The sequence below is a fragment of the Homo sapiens genome, chromosome 2, assembly GCF_000001405.40.
Source record: "Homo sapiens chromosome 2, GRCh38.p14 Primary Assembly".
NCBI lineage: Eukaryota > Metazoa > Chordata > Mammalia > Primates > Hominidae > Homo > Homo sapiens.
The window spans coordinates 30,942,744-30,968,023 of record NC_000002.12 but is presented as its reverse complement, the minus strand read 5'-3'; the positions used below and the strand labels follow the sequence as shown (position 1 = coordinate 30,968,023).

Sequence of the window (25,280 nt, the reverse complement as noted above, 5' to 3'; positions counted from 1 at the left end):
ACACCTTCACAGCAGAGGGGACATTTGCTCTGGGTCTTGAAGGTTGAATAAGAGTCCTCAGGTAGAGGAAGGAGAAAGGACGTTGCTCCATGCAGAGGTAATAGCATGAGCAATGGTGGAGAGTCATGGCAGCATACAAGACTGATTTTGAAGGGTGTAGAAGGCTGTGATAGGGAGTTTGGACTTCATACATCAGGAACTGCTGGAGGGATTCAAACCAGAGGAAGCTTTGGCAGAGCTATGTGGTGGACAGGACATGACTGGCAGGGGCAGAGACTGAAGGCAGAAAGATGGGTCAGGAAGCTGCTGCAGTGCTCCCCTGAGAAAAAAGGACTGTCTGAGAGGCCATGGGCATGAGAGGAGGGGTGAATTCAGGAGGTGGGGCAAAAGGACATGGTGAGAAATTGTTTCTGGCAGAGAGGACAGGCTTGAAGGACAAGACTTACCTTTTCCACCATCTCTGCTCCTGGGGCCTTCCTTCCCTAACTTTTGGCTCCTCCTGGATGACCCACGCCCAGCCCATGCTTGAGTCCTGATCAGAGCTGCCTGGCTTTTTCTAAATAAGTTCTCTGGACCGACACCATGAGCCTTCAGCCTATGCCCCTATAGAAAAAACTGATCAGAGTTATCTGAGAGGCCAACATGACACCAGGGCCATTAGCCTAGGACTAAGGATCTTAAATGCTTTAGGCCACAGACTTTCTTGAGACTAGTGAAAACTATGAACTATCTTTCCAGGGGAAAAGAAATGCACATTTATACACACAGTTTGCAAACAATTTCAGAGGGCTCACGTGTCCCTTGAAGTCCATCCCTGGGTCTCTGAACCCTATATTAAAAGCCCCAGGCCTAGGAAAAAAATAGATAATGAAAAAAGCAAATATTTGACTCCCTAAAGTCTGTTATTTACTTCATCTTTTAATATCCCCCAGCTCCCCGCAATAATTGAACATCCCCCGAAATAGCAAGAAACAGGAGGAAGCATTTACCCAGTGATAGCCCCTGGTGCCACCAGCCTCACTTGGCGGGTTTATTTTCATTATTATAGTAATTTTCAAGCTGCAGGCTACAATTTTCACTTGCAGCGAGGTATTAAATTGAAATTACCCCAGATGTAATTGTCATAGGAAATAATCCTGGATACATGGAAGTGAATGCCTTTTCAAGATGGGGTTTTATCACTTATACCAGGGTTTGGGGCTCTGCCTCTTTTACATGCCACATTTAGGTGTGTGTTGCAGGGGCTGGGCGTCAGCACAACATGGTAGCCTGAAGCTGTTAGCCCAGAACACAGTGAAGCCTCTGCCGACTGGAATCTACCCACTGGCCAGTGGTGTGGGCAGATGGGCTGAAAGGGTAGAGAGTGGGAAGCAGAGCCCGACTTGGGGTTGTGTTCATGCAGCTACCAGGAGCCACTGTGCACTGGCTCAGGCATGCAAGAAATACCACACTTATTTTCAGTATATCAACTCAATTCGTCTCCAAGCCTAGGTTCCCCCAAGGTGGTAGAAAATTCAGATTTAGTCATTCTTGGAGCTCCCCAGCCCCTCTTAGGGCCAGGTGAAGCCGTGGGGTCTTACCTAGTACTCTGCAGCTGGGGAAGCCCTTCTAGATATCAAGCATCTGGCATAGGGATGCCCACCCAGATGCCCTCGGTTCTAGCCCTCCAGATATGCTTTGTCCCTGAAGGTCTCACTTGCCCTGTGCCTTTCCTTCCCCAGATGCACACTGCTGGTGTATTGCACGGACCTTCCACCCACTAGCATCATCATCACCTTCCACAACGAGGCCCGCTCCACGCTGCTCAGGACCATCCGCAGGTGAGGCATCCTTGCTTGTCTGTTGGCCAGCTCTGGGCCAGCACTTGGTGACAGTGTGTCTGCTCCCCAGGTGCCCAGCGCTGTACTAGGAGCACCAGACACATCTAACTACGTGCCAGGCACTATTCTATATGTCACATGTGTCCACTCAGTCACTCCTCACATTCCTGTAAGGGAGGCTATTATCCCATTTTATAGAAAGACAGAGGCCTGTGGTGTTAGGTAACGTGCAGAAGGTCAAAGAGAATAAGTAGAAGAAGCAGCCTCAGAGCCCTCGGCCTCCCCACTCTGCCAGGCTGCCTCTAGAGCATGGGTTCTGACTTCCACAAATGAGGAAGGGGCTGAGGCCCTGAAAGGCTGAGTGCACACCCCAGCCCCAGCATCAGGCTGGGTCAGCACCCAGCACCCTGATTCTCTGCCCTCCCACACACTTGCCAGGGGCCATGCAAATCAGAACGGCCTGCAGCAATCACTAAGGCTTGCCTTCCTGACCATCTACCTGCAGTTCCATCCCCGTTCCCCTGGGCTTCAGTCCACTCATCCTCTGGGTCGTGTTCTTGCTCTAATAGGTGTATCCTGCTATGGATGGCCTCTGGCCTGCGTGGGTTTTTGATGTGCCCAAGTCCCAGTGCCAGTCCCTAGCAGAACTCCCCTCAGAACATAGACCTGCACCCAGAAGGCTTACCCAGGATTTCCTCCCCCAGATTCTCCAAAGACTCTGGCTGTTTCACCCCCCTTCCCCCATGCCCGCCCTCCCCTCCAGAAGTCATCTGTCCTCTTCTCCCTCCCTCAGGCCACCAGCAGTATCTACCTCTCAGATGGCAATGACAGCAGCCGCCCTCACTCCAGCTCCTCTGCGCACATATTCTGTGCACCTCAGCTGCAGAGGTGAGGAGGCCACTGCCACGCCCACTTCACAGCTGAGGAAACTGACATTGGAGATACTAAATCAAGGTCCAGTGTCGCCTAGCCAGTGATAGTGAGGCAGGATTCCAGGCCTTGCACTCTGATCTCAGAGTCCTCCTTCTTGTCAGCCTGAGTAGGGAGAGGCTAGTCCCAGTGGTGGTGTTCAGCATCCTTCGGGGCCAGGAATGCCACAGCCACGTCCCGCAGCTGAGCAAGAACCCCCAGTACCTCCATGTCCCCATGAAACGCGGCTCATTAGACCCTTCCTGTCCTGCTGAGCAGCACATCAGCTGGTGCCGATGCCACAGAGAAAAAAATATGATGAAACATGGGTCAGAGAGCACACGAAACACAGCAAAATCTCATTGTTTCCATCATGCAGGCTACACTTTTCCTGTCTCTCCCGCCGCCGCATGGCTGTGGGCAGTGGGAAGTTCCAGGTGATGGGAGGTAAGTCCTGCAGTAGGGTCACCCTGAGGGAAGGCACCAAATCTTCAGCTCCACCTGTCATGAATGATGAATGTCCACTGTATACAGTCACCACATCCCTTAGAGACATAGGGAGGGACCTGCCCAGACACACAGTTTTTAGCCCAGTGCTTCCACCCATCCAAGGGGACAGCCCTGTCTGCTGTTTAGACATCCTTGGCAATGTCAGGCTGGCTTCTTCCTCCAGCCACGTGCCCATCCTGGCTTCTGTAATCACCCCAAGAGCCACCTGATTCAAATTTGATTTCCCAACCAGGCAATAGCTCTTGACAAGAAAATGTGCCAAGTCACTGTCAGGTGTCACCGGGAGTCTCGGGGTAGATTAACGATAACAAAGCGCCTGGCTGGTTAAGTGTGGGGACAACAGGGATGGAGGAGGCCCAATTCTCCTGGGTCTCCTGTGGTGAGGGGAGGAGCGTCTGGGGCATCCAGGCTGAGAGGACACACAGGGAGGTGGAGGTGGCTGGTTCTGAAGTGCCAGACCACAGCCCTGCCGTTGTGATGTGCTGGGGCACCAGGGGGGGTTCATGGAGCAGACCAACTGCAACCTCTGCCTTCCCCACCGCCATGGTGGCTGCTCCACCGGTCATGACTGGGCATGCCTGCCAGATGTTTCCATGAGAACAGCGTTAGCACCTGAGAGAGGCCCCTCGCTTTCCAGGCTGGCCTCTCCCTGCCCATCCTGCAAGAAGCTCTCTGATGCTGGGTGCCTCCATCCCCTGACACCATCACACACATGCACCCCATCAGGGGCTTCCTCTGGGCCCTTCTCTACATATCACTACTCCAGTACTTGCTGCATTTTTTCAGCATGTAACCTTCAGTGAGCTCCTTTAGGGCAAGGACTTATCTTATCCATCTCTTAACCTCCCAATGGCTCAGTATCCTAACCAAGGAAATGAGAATACTAATCGTACTTAGTGCATAGGGTTGCTAAGGGTTAATTCGGCTAAAGGACTGAGAACAGTGCCTGGCATGGAATAAATGCTTGATCAAAGAAAGGAGGCTATGGGATACTTAAAAGGGTACCACACTTGGAGTCAGAAGACCTGGAGTCAAATCCAAACCCTACCACTTCCTAGCTGTGTGACCCTGGGGCATGTTATTAACTACATCTGTAGAAAATGATGATAAAAATATCTTTCATGTTTCTAATTCTATCACATTTCTACAATAAACGTTCCTCTGGGGAATGTCTCAGACATTTGGGGGCATTACAGTGTATGTAATATGGGGGCTTCTAGGCCCCCCAGGCCTCCCTAACAGTGTTTATGTCCTCGAGGGTACCTTAGCTGCTGTGCTCAGACTCTAAGACATGTTTCTCCTCTTCCTGCCGCTCCTCCACCTCTATGTGGTATTAATGATACTTAATAAGATTACCGTGTTAAATGTATCCTGAGCTTTGTGGCCTGCAGAACACATTCCTTCTCTCACTCCAGTTGGAGCCTCATCCTGAGCCTGTGGGGCAGGTGGTGCACTTGTTGAGAGCAGAGGCATCAGGCGTCAGCTTTCCTGGGTTTCCTGGAGGTACAGCGCGGCTCCTCTGTCTGCCTGCCTGTTGGAGGGCTGCCCTGAGGCCCTGGAACCCTGCACTCTGGGAGGGTTCTTGGCGCCCATCAGCCCTGTACTTTTCAGAAGACACCCATGACGTGCCAGACGACTTAGCTGAGAGAGCCTGTTTCCTGCCTCCTAGGAACTTCAGATGTCAGCCAGCCCCGAGCTCAGACCCAAGTATGACACACACAAACAGCAAAATGGAGACCTGAGAGGCATGTGTAGACAACCAGGAGCTTATATCAAAAGCAGGCAGGGCAGAAATGAATGTTAGGGGTGGAGGCAGGAAAGATTACTTCTAGAAACTTCCATGCCTTAAGATTCTATACCTCCCTTTCACTCTCTATCCTGTTGCACAAATGAATCACTAGCCACTGAGAGGGGACTGACTGAAGGACATGTCCTGTCTCAGAGGTCTTCAATAAAGGGATCTTCTCTAAAGTACCTTTCATTGTTAACTTTCTGGAATTCTGGACAGGCTTTGTTGTCAGGCTCTTTGCAACCCCCCTGCCCAGACCCTCTGGCCCCCTAAGCTCTGGAGTTAGCTGGGGACTAGACAGGCTCACGTGGGGAACTCAGAGCCAGGTAGAGGCTCAATCGGGCACACAGATGATGGGGTGGGTGTAGAGAAGCATGACCTTGATGAATTAGGGGACATTCTCACTTAGAGAGAAAACAAGCCCTGAAGAGTGGTTTATCTTGACTCCTGATGCAGTGAGTCTGCATGTTTATGGGAGACCCAGCGCTGTCACCTTCCTTTTGGGGCATCCTTCACCGCCACCCCTCCCATGGGGGCTCTGAGGCATGGGCAATGGATCCCTTTATGTGTTGAGTCTTCTCACTGTTGCTTTTTTATAATATCCCAGATCTAGGGGAGCCATTTCTCAGAGTAAGGTGGTTAAGAATTTGGACTCTGGGGCCAGATTTTCATGGCTCTGCCCTTAACAGGTGTGTGATCACAAGCAAGCAAGTTAGCCTTTCTGCCTCAGTTTCCTTTTCTGCAAAACAGAGACTGCTAATAATAACTACCTGACATCATTGTGGAGAAGACAAAGTAATTTCAGATAGGGAAAGGACTTGGAGCAGTGCCTGGCATATGGTGAGCCTGAGCGGTGACAACAGGTGTATATTGTGAGCCTCCAGCCCTGGCAGACAGCAGAGTTCTAATGCAGGGGCTCTCAAACTTGAGCAGGCTTCAGAAGCTCCCGGAGGGCTTATTAAAACACAGTTTCTTGGGCCCCATCTGTAGAAAGTCTAACCCAGGCTGGGCACAGGGGCTCATGTCTGTAATCCCAACATTTTGGGAGGCCAAGGTGTGCAGATCACCTGATGTCAGGAGATCAAGACCAGCCTGGCTAACATGGTGAAACCCCGTCTCTACTAAAAAAAACAAAAAAACCAAAAAATTAGCTGGGCATGGTGGCAGGCGCCTGTAATCCCAGCTACTTGGGAGGCTGAGTCAGGAGAATCACTTGAACCTGGGAGGCGGAGGTTGTAGTGAGCCGAGATTGTGCCATTGCACTCCAGTCTTGGCAACAACAGTGAAACTCCATCTCAAAAAAAAAAAAAAGAAAGTCTAACCCAGTAAGCCTAGAGTGGGGCCCAAGAATTTGCATTTCTAACAAGTATCTAGGTGACGGTGATGCTGCTGGCTCCAGGATCCCACTTGGGAAAGTTATGCATATTGCTATTATTAGCTTCAATATTATTAATATCAATACCACCATTCAGAGAGCAGCTGCTGTGTGCCAGGCATGGTGAGCTCCTTTCACACAGCTGAGGAAATTATAGTGCTGAAGGTTCAGTACTTACTGAAGCTCTCCCAGCTAGTGAATGGTGGATACAAAGAAACAGTACTTGAACCCAAGTTAGTCTCACTCCAGAATGACTAAACTCAACTGTCAGCCGGCCTTGGGTCTTCATTCTACTGGTATTTATGGAGCGTTTGATAAAACCTGCCTGCATAGAGCACCGTGGAGTTCACAAAGCAATTTCAAATACATTTCCTTATTTCACAGGCACAAAAGCCTGTGAAGTAGGTCAAGTATTAATATCGCCTGCTTTTACAAGGAAAATGTAATTACAGGAGGAAATGAAGGCTGGGAGCGAACCAACATCTATCTGGTTCAGGATTGCACAGTTAGTGGGTGGTGCAGCCCACCTGGCCTCTGAGCCTACACTGCCCACGCTGCCCTGCGGCCTCTGGGGGCTCCTTGAGGGCCAATAGTTAGGGTGCAGCAGGTGTAGAAGCCACCTGTGTACCTGCCCTCTGGCAGAGAGATGAGCTGCATATAGAAGACTCTGTTCTAGAACAATCCCAGGCAGAGTGAGGAGAGCATTTATTCCCATGCTGAGGCAAAGGAAGGGTGTGGGGAAGGCAGCTGGAGTGGGGGTGAGGCTGAGAAGAGCTATCCTCTGCTGGGCCTGGACGAATGGATTTGCTTTGCTGTAGAGGCAGTGGTGAGAGCAAGGGAGGGAGACCTGAGCAACCATTCCCTCCCAGGGTGGAGGGAATGAGAGTGGGTGTGCATGAGGGAGGGCCCTGGAGGACCACCTAGGCCAGGCTAGGTCCCTTGGACTGGACTTGACCTTCTCCTCTGACCACCCAGAGCACGTGCCCACCTCAGGCCCTCCCAGCTGCAGGCCATGTTTAAGGGGACTCCGCCATCGCTCCAATTGTTCTGATTAGAGAAGCAAAAACAAGCCAGGTGTTACCACGAAATGGTCTAATTAGCACTCACTGCTGACTATTTCTTTTTTTTTTCTTTTCTGTTTTAAACCCTGGACATTTTTTATTCACTAATCATCTCTCAGTTCAACCAGTGCAGAGCCGCACGCGATTTACCTTTTGATGTTCGCAGAAGAGAACTCTTGAATTTCAAAGAGCTGGCAGGGATTTAGCAGAATTGAATGCAGAAGCTACAGCCGTAATCAAACCTCATTAGGGGTTATTCTTCCAGCAGGTTTTCCGCTGTCTCCTGCTTCCCTCCCTGATTAGAGGGCTGGTTGTTGTTTGTATGTGTTTTCTTTGGGACGATCATGGTGAACAGTCCCATTCCACCATCCTCTGGCAGAGGCTGCAGCCTTCTTTCCCCTCCCTGACCATGAGCTCCCGAAGACAGAGACAGTGAGCTCACGACTTTGTGTTGGGGTTCCTCTCTCCATCTGATACTAGTTGCCATGGTGAGAATCAAGGCTTCATAAATATGGTAGCTCCAGGCTAAGTTCTCTTCCAGTAGAGTCTGCATCCTGCATAGAAGGGGTAGTGCTCTCCAGTCAGGGCTCAGAAGGGTCCTCCTGGGAGGAGGGCTGCATACAGCGCCTCCACCTGCACCCATTCTGAACCCCCTCTCCAACATCACAGGGAATCCCGTGATAGCTGGTGTGGCCCAGCCATGTTTCTGAGTAGTCACGTGGTTTGGGGTGTTCAGGAGAAGCAGGATCCAGTCATCTCAGTCAGACCTAAGACACAGAGTTAACCTTGCCCCTGGATAGAGATCCACAGCACAGGAGGGGTAAGTGAGTCAGTTAGATTCAAAAATCATTAATGATGCACCAAATTAAGTGATAATAAAAAATTGCAACCATTTGTTATCATAAAGTGCCAAATATCATGTTAAATGCTTTTTATACACTTTCTCCTTTAATTTGCTCAACTGCACTGTGAAATAAGTACTCCTATTATCCCTGTTTTCTAGATGGGATTCTTTGCTGCACAGAGCAGTAAAGTAACTTGCCCGAGATTACACAGCTTGTAGTAAGTAGCTGCTATACCACAAGCTTCTGGAGGGTAGAATCATCATATGCCCAGTGCTGAGCACATAGTAGGTGTTCAGTAAATATCCCTCGAGGGAATAGTTATGGACCAAGGCTCTGTGCTAGACTCTGGCAATAAAGAGAGCAATGGGTCAAGGGTCTTGCCCTGGGATATTTCCCTCCAGAGGGGACCACAGGCGGGTGAGGTACAAAACCAAACTTCAGGGCTGGGAAGTGAGAAAAGTCATAGGATCAGATACAAACTACTAGGAGATCCCAGAGGAGGAAGCAATTAATTCTCACGTAGTGGCTTGGAAAGCTGTTAGGGAGGAAGTGACATTCAAACTGGTCCTTGTGGGCAGCACAGGGGCATTTCAAGCAGCGGCAGCAGCAGGAGAGAGGCTCTTAGTTATGAATGAGCAGGACAGCTTCAGACAGCGGCACTGGGCATGGGAGGTGGGGAAATGTGGGCCAGCTTCTGATGGCAAAGGCCTTAGGAATGTGCTGAGGATTTGGGATGTCAATAGTGAGGAGCCCCTGGGGGGCTGTCAGTTTATTTATTTGCATTGGCGAGGAGAGTCACACAATCAAAGCTCCTTGTCAGAAAGTTCGCTCTGGAGACCACGAGCAAGATGGCCTGGGAGAGGCTGGGGCAAGTTGAGGCTATAAACTAGACAGAAGAGGTTAAATCAGGGGAGAGATATAAGAAGTGAAAGTGATTTGAGTGACATTTTCCAGTCAAACCAGCCAGTCTTTACTGATTTGCTGTGGGGTTTCAGGGAGTAGGAGGGTTGCCGAGGTTAACTCCTGGGCTTCTGTCTGGGTGGCTTTGCGGGTGGTGGAGGTATTCACTAAGATGGTGAAGGCAGAATTACATTCCTCCTGGCTCACAGATAAGCAATATGACTGGACAAGCCCGTTGGTGCTCTGATTTTTCATTCCTTAAATGCAATGGTATCTATTTAAAACTCGGGTTAGTACATATATTTTGCCACTAGAAGTTCCAGTGATTTTTTTCTGTTTCCATCTTGCAGTGTATTAAACCGCACCCCTACGCATCTGATCCGGGAAATCATATTAGTGGATGACTTCAGCAATGACCGTAAGTCATGTTGCTCACTTGCTCTTTAGACACGAATGTCTGTTCCCAGCCACTCTGTAACAGGCAGAGGTGAGTCCACTGGTTTTCTGGGAATGGGGAAAAGCCCAGGTTTGTAATAGGTACGGAAGTCTTTGAGCGTCCGTGGCTAGGCTCAGAAGGAGAGAAGCTTTATATCCAAAAAACAATTTCTCGGGTTCTCTGCAATAATCTGCAGTCTGAGCTAAGGCCCTCTTCCTATCATTTCCTGGGAGGTCTAGGTGGGCCCTGTCTTTGGGACCTCCCCAACCCCGTGGGACATCCTGTCACCTGGCCATGACACAGTGAGGGTTGCCTTCCAACCTTTCCGCATTCTTTTCTTGCTCATTTCCTACCTTGTGTCCTCCAGTTATCCTATCAAAGAACCTGAGTCTCATCCAAATTCACAGCAAATCCACTCTCTCCAAGAAAAACATGTGTGTCTTACCAGACACTGTGCATCAAATTTGAAATGTACAGTAATAGTTGAAGCATTGTCAGAAGTAATGTACTGGTAGTGCCGACACCTCACCTGAAGGCCGTCCTCCCAGGAGCCTGGGTACAGTTCTGTGCAGTCAATCATAACCAAGCAGAACACCCTCTTCCTGGTGACGAACTGAGGGAAATGGAATGACCACTGTGGACAGCTCCAGGTCCTATCAGAGTGGAGTCCACCCCCACTAGTTCTGAGGCTGGAAGCTGGGCATTGGGAGCCACCCCCACACTGCGGTCTGCTGTACGAAGGCTGGAAACCCCTACCCATTGGTGCTGCCTCAGAACCTCTGGGGGTGATGCAGAAGTGGGCTGTACATGAGGCCTAGAGTAATGAGATCAAGACTCTGAGTTCTGGAACGTGAGGATCGGCTCTCCCTTCCCCAGTGAGGAAGAGCTTGGAGGTGGGCAGACACTGGCCCTGCTGAGGGGTAGCCTGGCACTGAAGCAAGAGAAGAGAGTGCTGCTGGATTCACTTGCAAGCAGAATAGCAGTGGTTAAAACATGGACTCTGGAGCCAGACTGCCTAGGTTCAAATCCTAGACCTGTAAATCACTCACTAGCTATGTGCCTTGGGCAAATAATCAACCTGGTGCATGTCAGTTTCCTTGTTATAAAACAGAGATGGTATATATGGTTTATATAAGGATTAAACATGTTAACACATTTGAAGTGCTTAGAACAGTACCTAGCCCAGAAGCCTGTGTAAGTCTTTTCTGTTATTCTTTAAAGTTCAGAGCCAAGCAGGGAGGCCAAGGTCAATAAACTAATAAAGCAAAACCACAATGGTGGAGCCAAGATATGGAGTTCAGAGCCAGGGAGCTGGTGAACCAAAGGAGTGAGGAGCAGCAGGCAAGCCAGGGAGTAACAGGGACAAATGCTTAGGATGGGGTTTCCTGTATGGTGGAGAAGTGAACCAGCTCTGTGTAATGGGAGGCATGCTGAGTGGGACCCTTCCAAAAGCAGGTCTGTGAGCTGAAAGGAAAGTCTAAAATCTCATTTATTCTTGGCCTTCCAGCAGTTTTTACCAGACCTACTAAATTGACCAGTGCTTTGAATGGCCTATAAGAAAAGAGAAATGGGGAACGGGCACAGAGGCTCATGCCTGTAATTCTAGCACTTTGGGAGGCTGAGGCGGGAGGATCATCTGAGGTCAGGAGTTCGAGACCAGCCTGGTTAACATGGTGAAACCTTGTCTTTACTACAAATACATAAATTAGCCAGGCATTGTGGTGCATGCCTGTGGTCCCAGCTATCTGGGAGGCTGAGGCAGGAGAATCACTTGAACCCAGGAGGTGGAAGTTGTAGTGAGCAGAGATTGCGCCACTGAACTCCAACCTGGGCGACAGCGAGATTCCGTCTCAAAAACAAACAAAAGAGAAATGAGATTGTTTGTATTAATAACAAGGATAAATGCTTGAGGGGATGGATACTCCATTCTCCATGATGTGATTATTACACATTGCATGCCTGGATCAAAACATTTCCTGTGCCCCATAAATATATATATCTACTATGTGTCCATAAGAATTAAAGATTAAAAATTTAAATTAAAAATTGTTTAAAGAGAAAAATAACAAAAAAGAAAAGAGAAATGTCCCCAGGTGACTAGGCCAAGATTTTCCACCTGGAACATTTTCAAGCAAGTATACAGGTGCCATTGTGTACTGACCTGTTCCAAAGTGGCCCAGTTGAGGCCTCTTTGCCCTAGACTGGCCACCTTGTATGACAGCAGTGATCTGTCAGCCTCTCATAGCCTGGAAACACCCTGGAGTCAGGACTGCACTCTGCAGTTAGGGGACAGTGGACAGGGCTGCCTCACCTACCCTTCAGGTTCACCTGCAGTGCACACAATTGTAACACGTAGGTCCATCCCTGGGCGCTCAATTGGCTTAACCTTTTGTCTTTGCAGCTGATGACTGTAAACAGCTCATCAAGTTGCCCAAGGTGAAATGCTTGCGCAATAATGAACGGCAAGGTAGGTCTGAGCTGTTGTGCGGGAGCCTCCAGTGTGAGTGTCGGGGGGTCGAAGGTGTGATGGTGTGTGTGTGTTGGGGTGATCAGTGGGGAATGCTGGGTGGCTTCTCCCTGGTCTCGCTGGACAATGGAGTGACAGTGGCACCCACTTCGTCATTTGTTCCTGACTGCAGGTCTGGTCCGGTCCCGGATTCGGGGCGCTGACATCGCCCAGGGCACCACTCTGACTTTCCTCGACAGCCACTGTGAGGTGAACAGGGACTGGCTCCAGCCTCTGTTGCACAGGGTCAAAGAGGTGAGTGAGGCTGAGGAGCAGGGCCGGGCCTCGTGCCCCAGCTTTCTCCAGGCTCTCTCTCAAGCTCATTACTTCACATGTGCAACCCCCAGTTCTTCTGGGAGGTGGGCAGAACAGATCGCAGTCCCGATTTTATTGATGAAGGAACTAAGGTAGAGCAGCCTGTGTGAGGTCACATGGCAGTCAGTGGTGGAGCAAGGACCGGGATGTGTTGTGACTGGGACTGTCACCCATAGCAGGCCTGCACTTGGGACAGCTGGGATATAACATATGCAGTTTCCTGGGCAGGAATGAACTGCCCAGAACCGGTTCTACCGGAGAGCAGAAGGTTCCAGAATGGGAACCCTTATGGGTGTCTTTTGTAGAAAGGAGGCAGCAAACTTAACCAGGCTTCATCCCCTAATTCCTGGGGCCTCTGTCTTACTTCTACCCTCACCCAAAGGCTACACCAAGCAGGCAGGCTAGATGCTAAGAGACCTGAATTCCTTGCCCCTCTTTGCCCTTAAATTACTCTACAATTCTGGATGCTTCATTCCTCCAGTGTCTCAATTACTCCCCAAAAAGTGAAAGGAAATTTAATTTTTCTTATTATTTTATATTCCCTGAAGTCTATCCACTTCCCTACTGATCTACAGAATGTGTGGCAATTGCAGATGGCAGTATCAATTCAATGACTAGCATTCGTACTGTGTTCCTCTTCCTGAGTTATTGACTCCTATAGCCATTCTGTGAAGTAGGAGGTCAGGTATTTTTAATATACCCACTTCACTAAAGAGGAAACAGTCAGGGCAATTATATCACTAGGTCTGATGTTTTCTACTTGGTACCACCAGCACCAGAACGCTGGCGTTACCTCAACAGCATCTTCCCTGTGCTGTGGTTATTTCCTGCTCACTCTTCATGGTAGCTCCTAAACTCCTACCTGCATAATGACATTGTTAAGAGGACTAAAGAATCAAGCTATGTCGTCTGCTCAGAAGAAAACAAGGAAATCCTTCCCAACATTGTTCATTCCAATGAGATAACCTCAGTGGGTTTACAAAGTTCTGTCACATGGGCCTAGAGGTTAAGGCCCATCAGTAACCATTTTCTCTGAGATTGGGATGGCTCGTCTTCCACTTAGTGTTGTTTAGAAAAATCTCCTCTCTAGAATCGCTTGAACCCAGGAGGCAGAGGTTGCAGAGAGCTGAGATCGCACCATTGCACTCCAGCTGAGGCAACAAGAGTGAAATTCTGTCTCAAAAACAAAAAAGAGGAAGAAGAAAAATCTCCTCTCCTACTCTTTTTTGATATCTTCTAGGCAAAGAGGTCTGGATTGGGAAATGTTGAAGGGCCTCTCCTGGCACTGAAGTCCCTTCCAAATGCACGCCTCCCTCCATGCTCTCTTCTGCAGCCCCTTGTCCCTGGACATGCCATGACATTCCCACTGCTCCAGCTCTGACCAAGCCCTTCCTGTCCCTGGATGCCCTTCCCCTCCTCTCCACAAACCCGCTTGCTCTGTGGGGCCTCGTCCACGGCTCCCCTCCTCTAGGCAGCCTTTCCTGACTGCGTGGCCAGCTAGGATCACTACTGGCAGTCATTGCTCCCTTGGCCCACCATTTCCTCTTCTGGGTTAGTCCTCTGCCTCCCCTAATAGCTTACAAATCCAGTGGGGGCACCAATGACTCCTTGTGGCCACCCTGCCTGTCATAGAGTAGGTGCTCAGTGTTCAGAAATGATAATAAAAAACCGGATGCCATGGGGAGGTGTTATGGTTGGAAGAGGAGAAAATCAAGCTTGCTTCCTACCGGTAAATGAATCAACAGACGTTTCCTGAGCACCTATTTTGGGCAGTGTCCCAAGGGTTGGAATGGGCTGTGTAAAAGGTATCCATACCCTGCTTAGTAAGGTCCGCTGGGTTCTTTGTGCACTGGTGCCACACTGCTTCACAAATGACCTCCAGTAAAGGGAAGCACAGTATAAGTGACAGCAAGTAGAAGCAACACAAAAACTCTAGAAAGAAGGAAATTTGGCTGGGTGCGGTGGCGCATGCCTATAATCCCAGCACTTTGGGAGGCCAAGGTGGATGGATCTCGAGGTCAGGAGATTGAGACCATCCTGGCCAACATGGCGAAACCCTGTCTCTACTAAAAATATAAAAAATTAGCTGAGTGTGGTGGCACGCACCTGTAGTCCCAGCTACTCGGGAGGCTGAGGCAGGAGAATCGCTTGAACCAGGGAGGCAGTGGTTGCAGTGAATCGAGATTGTGCCACTGCACTCCAGCCTGGGCGACAGAGCAAGACTCTCTCTCAAAAAAAAAAAAAAAAAAAAAGGAAGGAAATTATTTGTGAGGAAGAAATATGGAAAACATTTGAGCACCTCCTGGTTATAGAAGTAGAGGAACTCTACTCCGCAGCAGGAACCTTTACCTCCCCAAAAATGTCTTTCTGCCTGTGAGTTGTTGACACTACCCTAGGGCCAGCTATGTCGTCCTGCTGCCATTCATGCCTGGAGTTAAAAGGAAACCGGAGTATGTTAAACAAAAACTAAAGGTTAAGGTTGCAGAATCAGAACTGAGTCTAGGAGTACTTAGCTGGGGAAGAAACTGGTGGGAGTTGGAGATAGTGTCTCTGTTTACAGGGGATTTTATACAGAAGAGACAAGGTGTTCCTTACTTAAACTCAGGTCATATTTTTAAAGTGGATTTCAAACTCAGGGACTGCAGTATAGTGGAAAACCCCTTGGCAGGGGATGGAGTAGGCTGCGACTTACCTTATCTTCCATTACAACAGTAACCCATGGTCATTGCAGACATTTTGGAAAATATGGACTGGTAGAATGAAAATGAATCAACCAAAATTCTTTTTTTTTTTTTTTATTATGCTTTAAGTTTTAGGGTACATGTGCACAATGTGCAGGTTAGTTACATATGTATACATGTGCCATGCTGGTGCGCTGCACCCACTAACTCGTCATCTAGCATTAGGTATATCTCCCGATGCTATCCCTCCCCCCTCCCCCCACCCCACCACAGTCCCCAGAGTGTGATATTCCCCTTCCTGTGTCCATGTGATCTCATTGTTCAATTCCCACTTATGAGTGAGAATATGCGGTGTTTGGTTTTTTGTTCTTGCAATAGTTTACTGAGAATGATGATTTCCAATTTCATCCATGTCCCTACAAAGGACATGAACTCATCATTTTTTATGGCTGCATAGTATTCCATGGTGTATATGTGCCACATTTTCTTAATCCAGTCTATCATTGTTGGACATTTGGGTTGGTTCCACGTCTTTGCTATTGTGAATAATGCCGCAATAAACATACGTGTGCATGTGTCTTTATAGCAGCATGATTTATAGAATCAACCAAAATTCTATCATGCAAAGACATCCACTGTTAACCTTTCTTTCCATTCAGTATCTTTTTCCTTTGCAGAAAGTGTCTTTTTTAAATAGTTACTATAATACTGTATTTATATGATTTTTGTATTCTGCTTTTTTCCCTTAATGTTATACATAAGCATTTTCTGAGCAACTTTTCTAAGGCAGTTTGCTCCTTGCCGAGAGAATGGCAGATGCGTTGTAGTGTACGCTTGCAGTCAAGAAGTTCATCTCAGAAAGAAATGAGGGGCTGAGGTCCAGGGCACGGTGCAGTGCACACTTGGCACTTCTGTCCCCTCCTCAGGCTGTTCACCCCTCAGGACCTCTGCCTCTGACCAGACCCCTTACCCTCTCAGTTTGCTGACCATGCACCCTGGAACTGAAGTTCCTGGGGCCCCAGGTCTCTTTGGATATTGGGGGCTGCTAGGTGAGGTCATGGTAAAGACTCAGACCTGAACCCAGGAGCTCTCTGCCCAGAGCTGTGCCCAGGCCTCTATGGGTGCAGCCGTCACAGCAGTGGACTCAGTCCCCATGGCCACTGCCCCCAAACTGATTTCATATGAGTGTGCATGTGTGTATGTGTGCACGTGTGCGTGCATGTGTGTGCGTGTTTTGTGTGTTGTGTTGTAAAATACATATAATGAAAGTTACCATTTTAACCTTTGAAAGTGGGCAATTGAATGATTTTAGTATATTCACAAGGTTGTGTAATCACCACTGCTTAATTTTAAAAGTTTTCATCACCCCAAAAGGAAAAGTTTTTATTACCCCAAAAGGAAACCTCATACCCATGGGCAATCACTCACTCCTCATTCTCCTCTTCTCCCTGCCCCTGGCCACTGCTAATCCGCTCTCTGTCTCAGTGGATTTGCCAGTTGTGGACATTTCATATAAACGGAATCACACAACATGTGGCCTTTTGATACTGGTTCCTTTCACTTAGCATATCTTTGGGCTTTATCCATGTTGTATGGATATTGGCATACTGTTTCAAGTATGAATGCATGTATTGGCATTCATTTTCATGGCTAATACTATTCCATGGCATGTGTATACCACATTTTGTTTATCCATCCAACCATTGATGAACACCTGGGTTGTTTCCACCTTTTTACTTTTGTGAATAGCGCAGTTATAAATATTTGTGTACAAGTTTTTGTTTGAGTCTCTGTTTTCAATTATTTGGGGGTGTATATGTGAATTGCTGCTGGCTCATATGGTAAATTGATGCTTAACCTGCAGGGACCCCCAGGCTGATTTTGTCCCTGCAGAATGTGTTAAGGGAGCCTTGCTTTCTTTGGGCACTTAATGAACCTCTGAAGCCCTTTCCATCCCAGTGGTCCCAAGTTCATCTCAGAAACCCTCTCTGAAAAGTGCTCTCCTTTCTACATCCATGGCCAGCCTTACCTGCTGGTCGGGCAAAGCCTTCATCTCTTCGTTTCCGAATGTGAGCAATGTCTGCCTGCTGCCGACGCTCCTTCTCTTCCTAAGCTAAGCTCCTGGGTCCTTGCCCCACCTGAGCTAAAGCTTTTGTAGCAAAGAGGTTAGCAAAGAGACAAACCCAGGAGCCATGGTCCAGCTCTCACCCTCCCAGGTCTGCAGTGGCCTTGAGGGCTGCAGAGGTTTTTGCTAAGACTCTGACTCCTTTAATGACCTGGAACAGTTCCTCTGGGCCAGCCCTTTGGGGACAGGGGGTGAGGGCGTGAGTCAGCCTGTGTTTCCTGGTGTCTTTGTATGTGTCTTGTCTCAGAGTAGGACATGATTTGATCCTGTGAGTGGAAGTGGAAATTTTAAGCTGTAATTGGAGTTTGGGATTTTCAAAAATAGAAAGAGATAAGAAAGAGACTGGGCTTCAGCTGTCATCCGCTGTCCTCAGCTGGTGTTTTCCACATTGAAAACCTCCCCAATTTTCCTTCTTTTCCTTTCAATTACATGATGATACTTGAAACAAGTACCAAGTTGGGGTTTTTTTTTAAACATAAGCTTATTTTTTTTTCAGTCTCCTTATCCACGTAGTTCTTTAGTGGGAAAAAAAAGATTTTAAGAAACTCCAATCTCTGCAAAGCATTTGGTAAATTTATATAAATCATAGCTTACATATTCTTCAAAGTCTTATCACATGCCTTTCTCTCTTGTTTCCTCACAAAAGCCCAGTTAGAGAGGCAGGATAGTTTTGCAAATAATAATTTGTCTTTCTTTTATAGATGAAAAACCGAGTCCCCAGAGCTGGCTGATTTAGTTCAGGTCACACATATTCTAGATGGCAGAATCAGAATGGGAACCCAGGTGTCCTGTCAACCCAGCTGTCCTTGTCTTTCCCCACAATGTCACCTCCTTGAGGATTCCTCCCTGTGTTCCCCACCCCTCCCTTCAGGCCAGCTTAGAGGCCCCTAGGCTGTGTATCTATACCCACATCAGAACCATCTACTCACCTGTCCTCGCCTTCTCTAGACTGTGAGGTCTTACTCATCCTTGTACCTGCCACGATTCCTAAATCATAGTAGGTGCTCAGGAGTGCTGGTTGATCACAAGAGTGGACATCTCTAGGAGCTTTTTGATTGCCCATTCACAATGTGGTTTTAATTACATGACTCAGCGGAGAAATGAGAGGCCTGATGGCAGGGGTGGTAGATGGCCACGGGCTGATGCATTCAGCCTCTTGTAGTTGCTCCTGGTGAGGGTTGGGTAGGAGTTGGGTGGAGAGTAGGGACTTGGATTTGCTTGGAGGAGGGGAGAGGAGGGAGTGTGGTCCAGGATCTGCAAGGGTTCCACCAGCTGCCTGCTTGAGCCTAAGCATGGACCTTGCTTTAAAGATACATCCTGCTGGGGCATGCACACAGAGAACTCAGTGTGCCTCGGTGCTTTAATTGAGAGTCCCTCCATCCCCTAGCCTACAGGAGGAGAAGCCATCTTATTCAGCTGTAATTGACCCACCTGCTTGCTAGCAGCACTGACACAATGTCCTTAGAGGGAGCTAATAGATGCCCTCTTTTAGCCAGCACAGATTGAACACCTGCTGCCCACCAGGCTTTGGGCCAGAGCTGAGGAATACAAAAGCGGAGCAGGTACTGACCTCCCAGGGCACTCAGAGAGGTCGTGTCCTGACTTTGGTGACTCATTATAAAGCCTCTTGCAGGCCCATTCAAGGTCATAGCTTTATACATACTTAGACCCAAATATCCCTCACTACCTATCTGGCCTCCAAGACTCTCAGCCAAGCAGATACCACAAGTGAGCTATGACAGGAATAATAGAAGGACAGAACCCCTCAGAGCTTACAGGAGGAGTGCACCAGAGCCTGTTGCAGCCCTGGAGACAGAGCCCATGCATGGCTTCTGGGGAAGTCTGTGACCAAAGTAAGCAACCAGCATTTTATTTTCCATTGCAGGTTTTAAATACTGGGGAAAGATTTTTTTTAAAGTCAAAGCAAAACAGGATTGCAGTCTGGGGGTCCCCAAGACTACCCTCAGGTTTAATAACTTGCTACAAGGACTGAGAACTCAGCAAAACTGTTAGAATCATGGTTATGGCTTAACTACAGTGAAAGGATACAAATTAAAACCAGCAATGGGTAAAGGTGCACAGGAAGAGTCCAGGCACAAGCTTCCAGTTGTCCTTTCCCAGTAGGTTGTACAGATACCACTTACTTTTCCTAGCAAGGTTGTGAGGCAACATCACAGAGTATTGCCAAAGGGTAAAGCTCCCCGCAAGCCTCGATATCCAGGGTTTTTATTGGGTGTCAGTAAATAGACATGGCTAACTACCCTCATGGTCTCCATGCCTTTTCAGAGGTCAAGTTGAGTTGGTACCACACGGCCCAAGGTCTTCTCCATAAACCACATTGTTAGCATAGATTATCTGGTGTAGCCCACAGCCCCAGGTAAACAAAGACAGTCTTCTAGGCAGGACATTCCAAGGGGTTAGAGGTTACCTCCCAGGAGCTGGGCAAGGGCCAAACATATCTTTGGGCATGGTTAATCCTTTATTGCATAAGAGTCACAGAAGGACCTAGTACAGCTGCAGAGGCCCCAAAGCTCAAAGCAAAGGCAAAACCAAGACTTTGTCAGACATACAGAAGATATCTCTGAACTTCTGAGGTCATTTCAGAATTCAAGGAACAATTGTGTGTGTATTTGTGTGTGCACGTCCAGGTATTTGTGTGGATGGTGGTGTTTGTGTGCCTGCAGTATGTATCCATATGTATCCATGTATCCTGTTGACATATCCACAGACACACAATGACAGTGGCCCAAGAGCCCCAGAGGAACTGTGGCAGCTGGGCAGGTGCAGTGCTGACTATGAATGAACCATCTGTGACATCCCAGAGGTAGAAGTAATGCATTGAAAATGAGCATTTCTTTCCATGTGGGCCAATTGGTTTTCAGAGGCACCTTGTTACTGTCAGAATGAGTCACATGTGGGAGGCTGAGGGCCAAATTAAGTCTGTGAACTTAAAATCAGGCACTCAGTGAATCTAGAGTTTAAAATAAGAAGACAACCTCATTTGGGGGAAAGAATGAACCAGGAAATTAAATGGCTTCAAGGAGAAACAGAGGTTCCTGCCTGTGCTGGCCAAAGGGTGGTTGGTGCAGAGGATTGGAAAAGCAGTCCTGCCTGGTTCCCAGGGACCTGCTGGTTTTGATGGGCTGCCTGATTCCCATTTAGCTGTCCAAAAGTTTCGGTGTTCACAGCTCTTTGACACCTCTCTGGGCAATGTGGGGAGTTTTCCTCACTGCACATCAGGTACAGGGCTACTCACCCAGAAATGAGAAATTTGAAAAATATATGTACAGTGGCTCGATGGCTCCAAGAAGCTGGTGACTTAGGCTTGCATATTTTGAAAATGTTTCCTGCATGATTTTGATGCCGTAGATGGGGTGGCCTGAGGGACGTAGCAAGTAATGAGGCTGGAAAGCTAGAGATAGGCCTGTTCTTGATGGTCTGGGATGCTATGCTAAGGAGTTTGTACTTTGTCTTAGAGGCAGTTAAAGTTTTTAGCAGCTGAGTGGCAGAGTCAGATTTGCAAATCAGAAAGACAACTTTGGCAGCCATATGTAGAATAAAAGGAGAAGAGCAGGAGATAGAGTGGGGTCGGGTTTAGGAGTCCATTGTAGTACTCCAGGCTTGAGGGGATGGAGAAGAGGCAGGCTGAACTCAAAGAGCAGTTTTGGAGTTAGAACCAGCAGGATTTGGTCTGGTTGATGGGCTGGGTGAAGCTTCTTCATTTAGTGCTGCGGGGAGGGAAGACAGGTGATGATTCTGTTAACAGAAATAGGGAACTTAAGGAAGGGAGCATGTTTGGGGAGAAGACAGTGAAGTCAACCTTTGAAAGGTGAGTGAAATTCACATGGAGGTGGCCAATGGCATATTATATCTGGGTCTGGAAGCTAACAGGGAAGTCGGGGCCTGGTACAAATTTGTGACTATTCATCTGCAGGGGACAATTAAAGTTAGGACTCTGGGAGATGCTATTCATCAACTTATCCATGAACCACAGGCATAGAATGAAGCACCATGGGTGTACGGTTTTGCTTCTTGGGGCTGCAGTCTTGGGGTCACCTTCCCAGCTGTATCAGTCCATTCTAACATTGCTATAAAGAAATACCAGAGACTGGGTAATTTATAGAAGAAATGAGGTTTCATTGGCTTACGGTTCCACAGGCTGTATAGGAAGCATGATGCTGGCATCTGTTCAGCTTCGGGGGAGACCTCAGGAAACTTACAATCATGGCAGAAGGTGAAGGGGGAGCAGGCTGGTCACATGGCCAGAGCAGGAGCAACAGAGCAAATGAGTGGGGAGGTGCCACACACTTTTAAACAACCAGATCTCACAAGAAGAACATACTCGCTATCACCAGAACAGCACCAAGGGGATAGTGTTAAGCCATTCATGAGAAATCCACCCTTATGATCCAGTCACCTCCCACCAGGCCCCACCTCCAACACTGGGGACTGCAATTTGACATGAGATTTGATTGGGGACACAGATCCAAACCGTATCACCAGCTAACTATGTCCTCTGCCTCCTAGAGCCCCACTCGTGGTGAAGGCCTTCTGGAGCCCCTTCTTCTCGATTGCCCCTTTCTGGGTGTGCAATACTCTCCAGCCAGCCTCCATCATGTCCACCTTTCTTAGATGGCCACTGCGGCAGGGAGGTCCCAGCAGTCAAGGAAAACCTCTTAGCATTTTAGGCATCAGAACTGGAGAGGTCCCATTGCCCAGTACCCCCTTTTATAGATGGAAAAATTAAGATCCAGAGATGAAAGGGCTCTATGAAGGCCACAAAACTCATCTCTGGCCCTACCCTCACGAGGCCATCCCAAGCTCCCTGACTCCCAGCTGGGCTCCTCTCCATAAGCTAAGTGCGGGTCTGTTGTCTTACAGGACTACACGCGGGTGGTGTGCCCTGTGATCGATATCATTAACCTGGACACCTTCACCTACATCGAGTCTGCCTCGGAGCTCAGAGGGGGTGAGTTGGGCTAACACCTCCTCCCCAGTAAGGATTTTCTTTTCCTCTCAGTCACTGCTTTTAAGTGGGGAGAGTGAAGGAAAAGCTCTTAGTTGCTTGTCGAGAAAGCTCAGCCTGCAACCTGCACTATAATTACCTTAGCTTGGCCCTTACCACCAGGACTGTGGATGGAAGGGCTAGGGGGTGGGCAGGATGCTCCCAGCACCCAGAGCTCCAGCTCTAAGATAGGGCTCACCCCATTTAATGTCCAAAAATGTGATGGGAGCAAGGATTTCCCAGCTACATGTGGCCTGCATTGTTCTGATGCCAGCAGTGGGCACCACCCTCTCCTAGAGACGTGATTATTCTGTTAACAGGAGTAGGGACCTTAGAGAAGGGAGCATGTTTGGGGAGACCCACCCCAGCTCTCCACATAGGGCCCACTGTTGCCCCCACTTCAAGAATGACTTTTAGGTGACTCAGGTAGTTTAAGAGCCTCTCACAAACCTCCTGCTCACACCTTCCTGAGACTCAGTGCCAAGGCCCACATTCCATGACTGTCCATCCTGTCATCCTCGGCCCCTACCCCTAGGCTTTTTATCCTCTGCCCTTTATTTCTAACCCTACACAGCAGAGAAGGCTCAGAGAGGTGGTAGTGGGTAGAGGAAGAACAGGAAGCTGTGAACGGCGCTTTGGCAGCCATGCTGCTGATCAGCCTAGGGAAACCTGCAATCCCAGGGACCGGCCTCTTTGAGACCTACCTCTCCAGGACCTGGGTACATTCATGACCTTCTGGAGAGGGTGCAGAATGAGCAAGTGCTTTTGAGAGACCAAAGCAGGTGGGTTGGTGCTGTGTTGTAGGGTTTGACTGGAGCCTCCACTTCCAGTGGGAGCAGCTCTCCCCAGAGCAGAAGGCTCGGCGCCTGGACCCCACGGAGCCCATCAGGTAAGTGGGAAGAGTCTGTGCAGGGGTGGGCAGACCATCACCACTGGATCCTGTCAAGTGTAGGGAGGTGCTCAATATCAGATGTCAAAGCATCAAGCAGACAAAGGGAGCCCTTTGCCAGGCCATCTCCACTTTTGCCTTTATTTTAGGAGGTTTCTATCCTCTTGGGGACTTCTTGCTAAGGGGATGGGGGCCAGCAGAGGCCTGTGCTGAGGTGTGCTGCCCACCCTCACACATGCCATGATGTCCTTGTGCCTCCTGCTAATGTCGGAGCCCAACGTTGGTTGAGTGGTCCCATTCGGCCTCTAGTGAGGGGAAAGATGGTCCCTTAGGGCCAGGAGCAAAGTCCCAGGGTCTTGGACATCAGGATTCAGCCCAGAGATGTTGAGTCAGCCACTGCTGTAAGTGGAGGCCAATATGAAGGTCACTGTGACATATTCATAAGCACAGCTGCCCTGTTCTCTGCAGGAAGATGACAGTGGCATGAACTCTGGCTCTTTGCCAGGCTGTGGGTGGCTTTGTACTGACCCACATTCTCTCCCAGGCCCCACTGTGACCCACAGCATATTGTGGCTAGGGCTTTGCATGGGGCCTGGGGACCAACTGAGGGCTTGGGGTAGAGTAGAGCATAGTGGTCACCACACAGAGGAGCCTGTGGTCTCAGCTTCAAGAGTGATGGTCTTGGTGTCCTACCTACTGGACAGTAAACCAGTCCCGGGCCTCTTGGGAATACTTAAGCTAAAACAAGCCTGCCTCAGGCAGGGCAGCAGGAGGATAAGAAGTGTATGGATAGATACAGAGGCCACTGGATTTCTCAGTCCAGATTAGGGATGCCCAGGACTAGCCAAAGGCATCTCTGTGTCTCTGGTGTTGCCACATAGTAAGTATTTAATCATTTTTGTTGAGTTGGCTGAAGTCAAATTGAGGATAAAGGGACTAGCAAGAGCTAAGAATGGGAATGTGAATGGTGACCTTCCAAATGGGGGTGGGGACTCTGAGAACTCTACTGTGGGGTAGGACCTTGGTCTCATCTACCTGATGGCCCCTCCTTGCTCCTCCAGGCTTCTCTATTTGGAGAGATACCAAGAGGAAAATTGGAGCCAGTTGGTACCCAGGACAAAGTCCTTCATTTCTAAAGGGAGAGGGAGGAGGAGCTTCTTATTATGCTGAGCATCACACAGCTCACATCAGCTCCTCACCAGGGGCAGTGCATGGTGTGGGTGTGGGAAGAGCAAAGGGTCAAGGTGATGCTGTGCAGCTCCCATGGGGTTTTCCTGCCTCTGTCGCAGGGGTGGCATTCTCAGGACAGGTTCTCTTCTTGTGGGATAGCTCTGCTCATCAGAGGGCACTTGTTTCCCAGGATGAAGCCAGTTCTCAGAAAACAGCAGGATGTGGCAGCATCAGGAGACCTGGGCTTCTGACCAGCTGTCCATCAATTACTTCTTTGATATGGAAGAAAACTCCCTTCACCCTCTGGATCCACTGAACGGGGGCCAGGTCTTTGAGGGCTTGCCCACCTATCCAGCCACTGATTATTAGCTTGGAATCTGCTCCCCTCCTGCCTTCCTTGGTAGCCCCTTTTCAGGCATTTCTCTGGCATCTCTCCAGAGAAGTCTGGGGACTGGGACGAAGAAAAGGAAAAAAATATGAGGGTGTGTGAGTTTGCTAGGGCTGCTGTAACAGCATACCACACACGGGGCTGCTTAAACAACAGAAATGTATCGTCCCGCAGTTCTGGAGGAGAGGTCCGAGATTAAGGTGTCCACAGGGTTGCTTCCTTCTGAGGGCTGTTCTAGGCCTCTCTCCTTGGCCGGTAGATGGCCATGTCTTCCCTGTGTCTCTTCACATTCTCTTCCTTCTGTGTGTCTGTCTCTGAGTCCAAATTTCCCCTTTTTATAAGGACACCAGTCATATTGGGCTCATTACCTCATTTTAACTTGATTACCTCTGGAAAGACTTAGTCTCCAATTACAGTCACATTCTAAGATACTGGGAGTTAGGACTCCAGCATATCTTTTTAAGAAGGAATTCAACCCATAACAGAGGCATAAAGAGGGAAAAAAAAGGAGAGAGAGCCCAGTTTCAGGAAACAGATGTGCTGCTACCAAGTGCCG

General features: G+C 48.8%; 1 protein-coding gene across 13 annotated transcripts in view; it reads left to right on the top strand.

Annotated features, from left to right (window-relative positions):
• GALNT14 (polypeptide N-acetylgalactosaminyltransferase 14) overlaps positions 1-25,280 on the top strand; it is a 251,659-nt gene that overhangs the window by 170,417 nt on the left and 55,962 nt on the right. For all 13 annotated transcript variants that reach the window (XR_007081588.1, XR_001738943.2, XR_001738941.2 and 10 more), the window contains 6 exons: positions 1,722-1,820; positions 9,560-9,627; positions 12,047-12,112; positions 12,285-12,406; positions 22,154-22,241; positions 23,082-23,166. Coding sequence is in view for 8 of the 13 variants with exons in the window: in NM_001329097.2 (NP_001316026.1) it covers positions 1,722-1,820; positions 9,560-9,627; positions 12,047-12,112; positions 12,285-12,406; positions 22,154-22,241; positions 23,082-23,166 (528 nt within the window). In the remaining 5 variants the exon portion in view is untranslated. The remainder of the gene's footprint in view (positions 1-1,721; positions 1,821-9,559; positions 9,628-12,046; positions 12,113-12,284; positions 12,407-22,153; positions 22,242-23,081; positions 23,167-25,280) is intronic.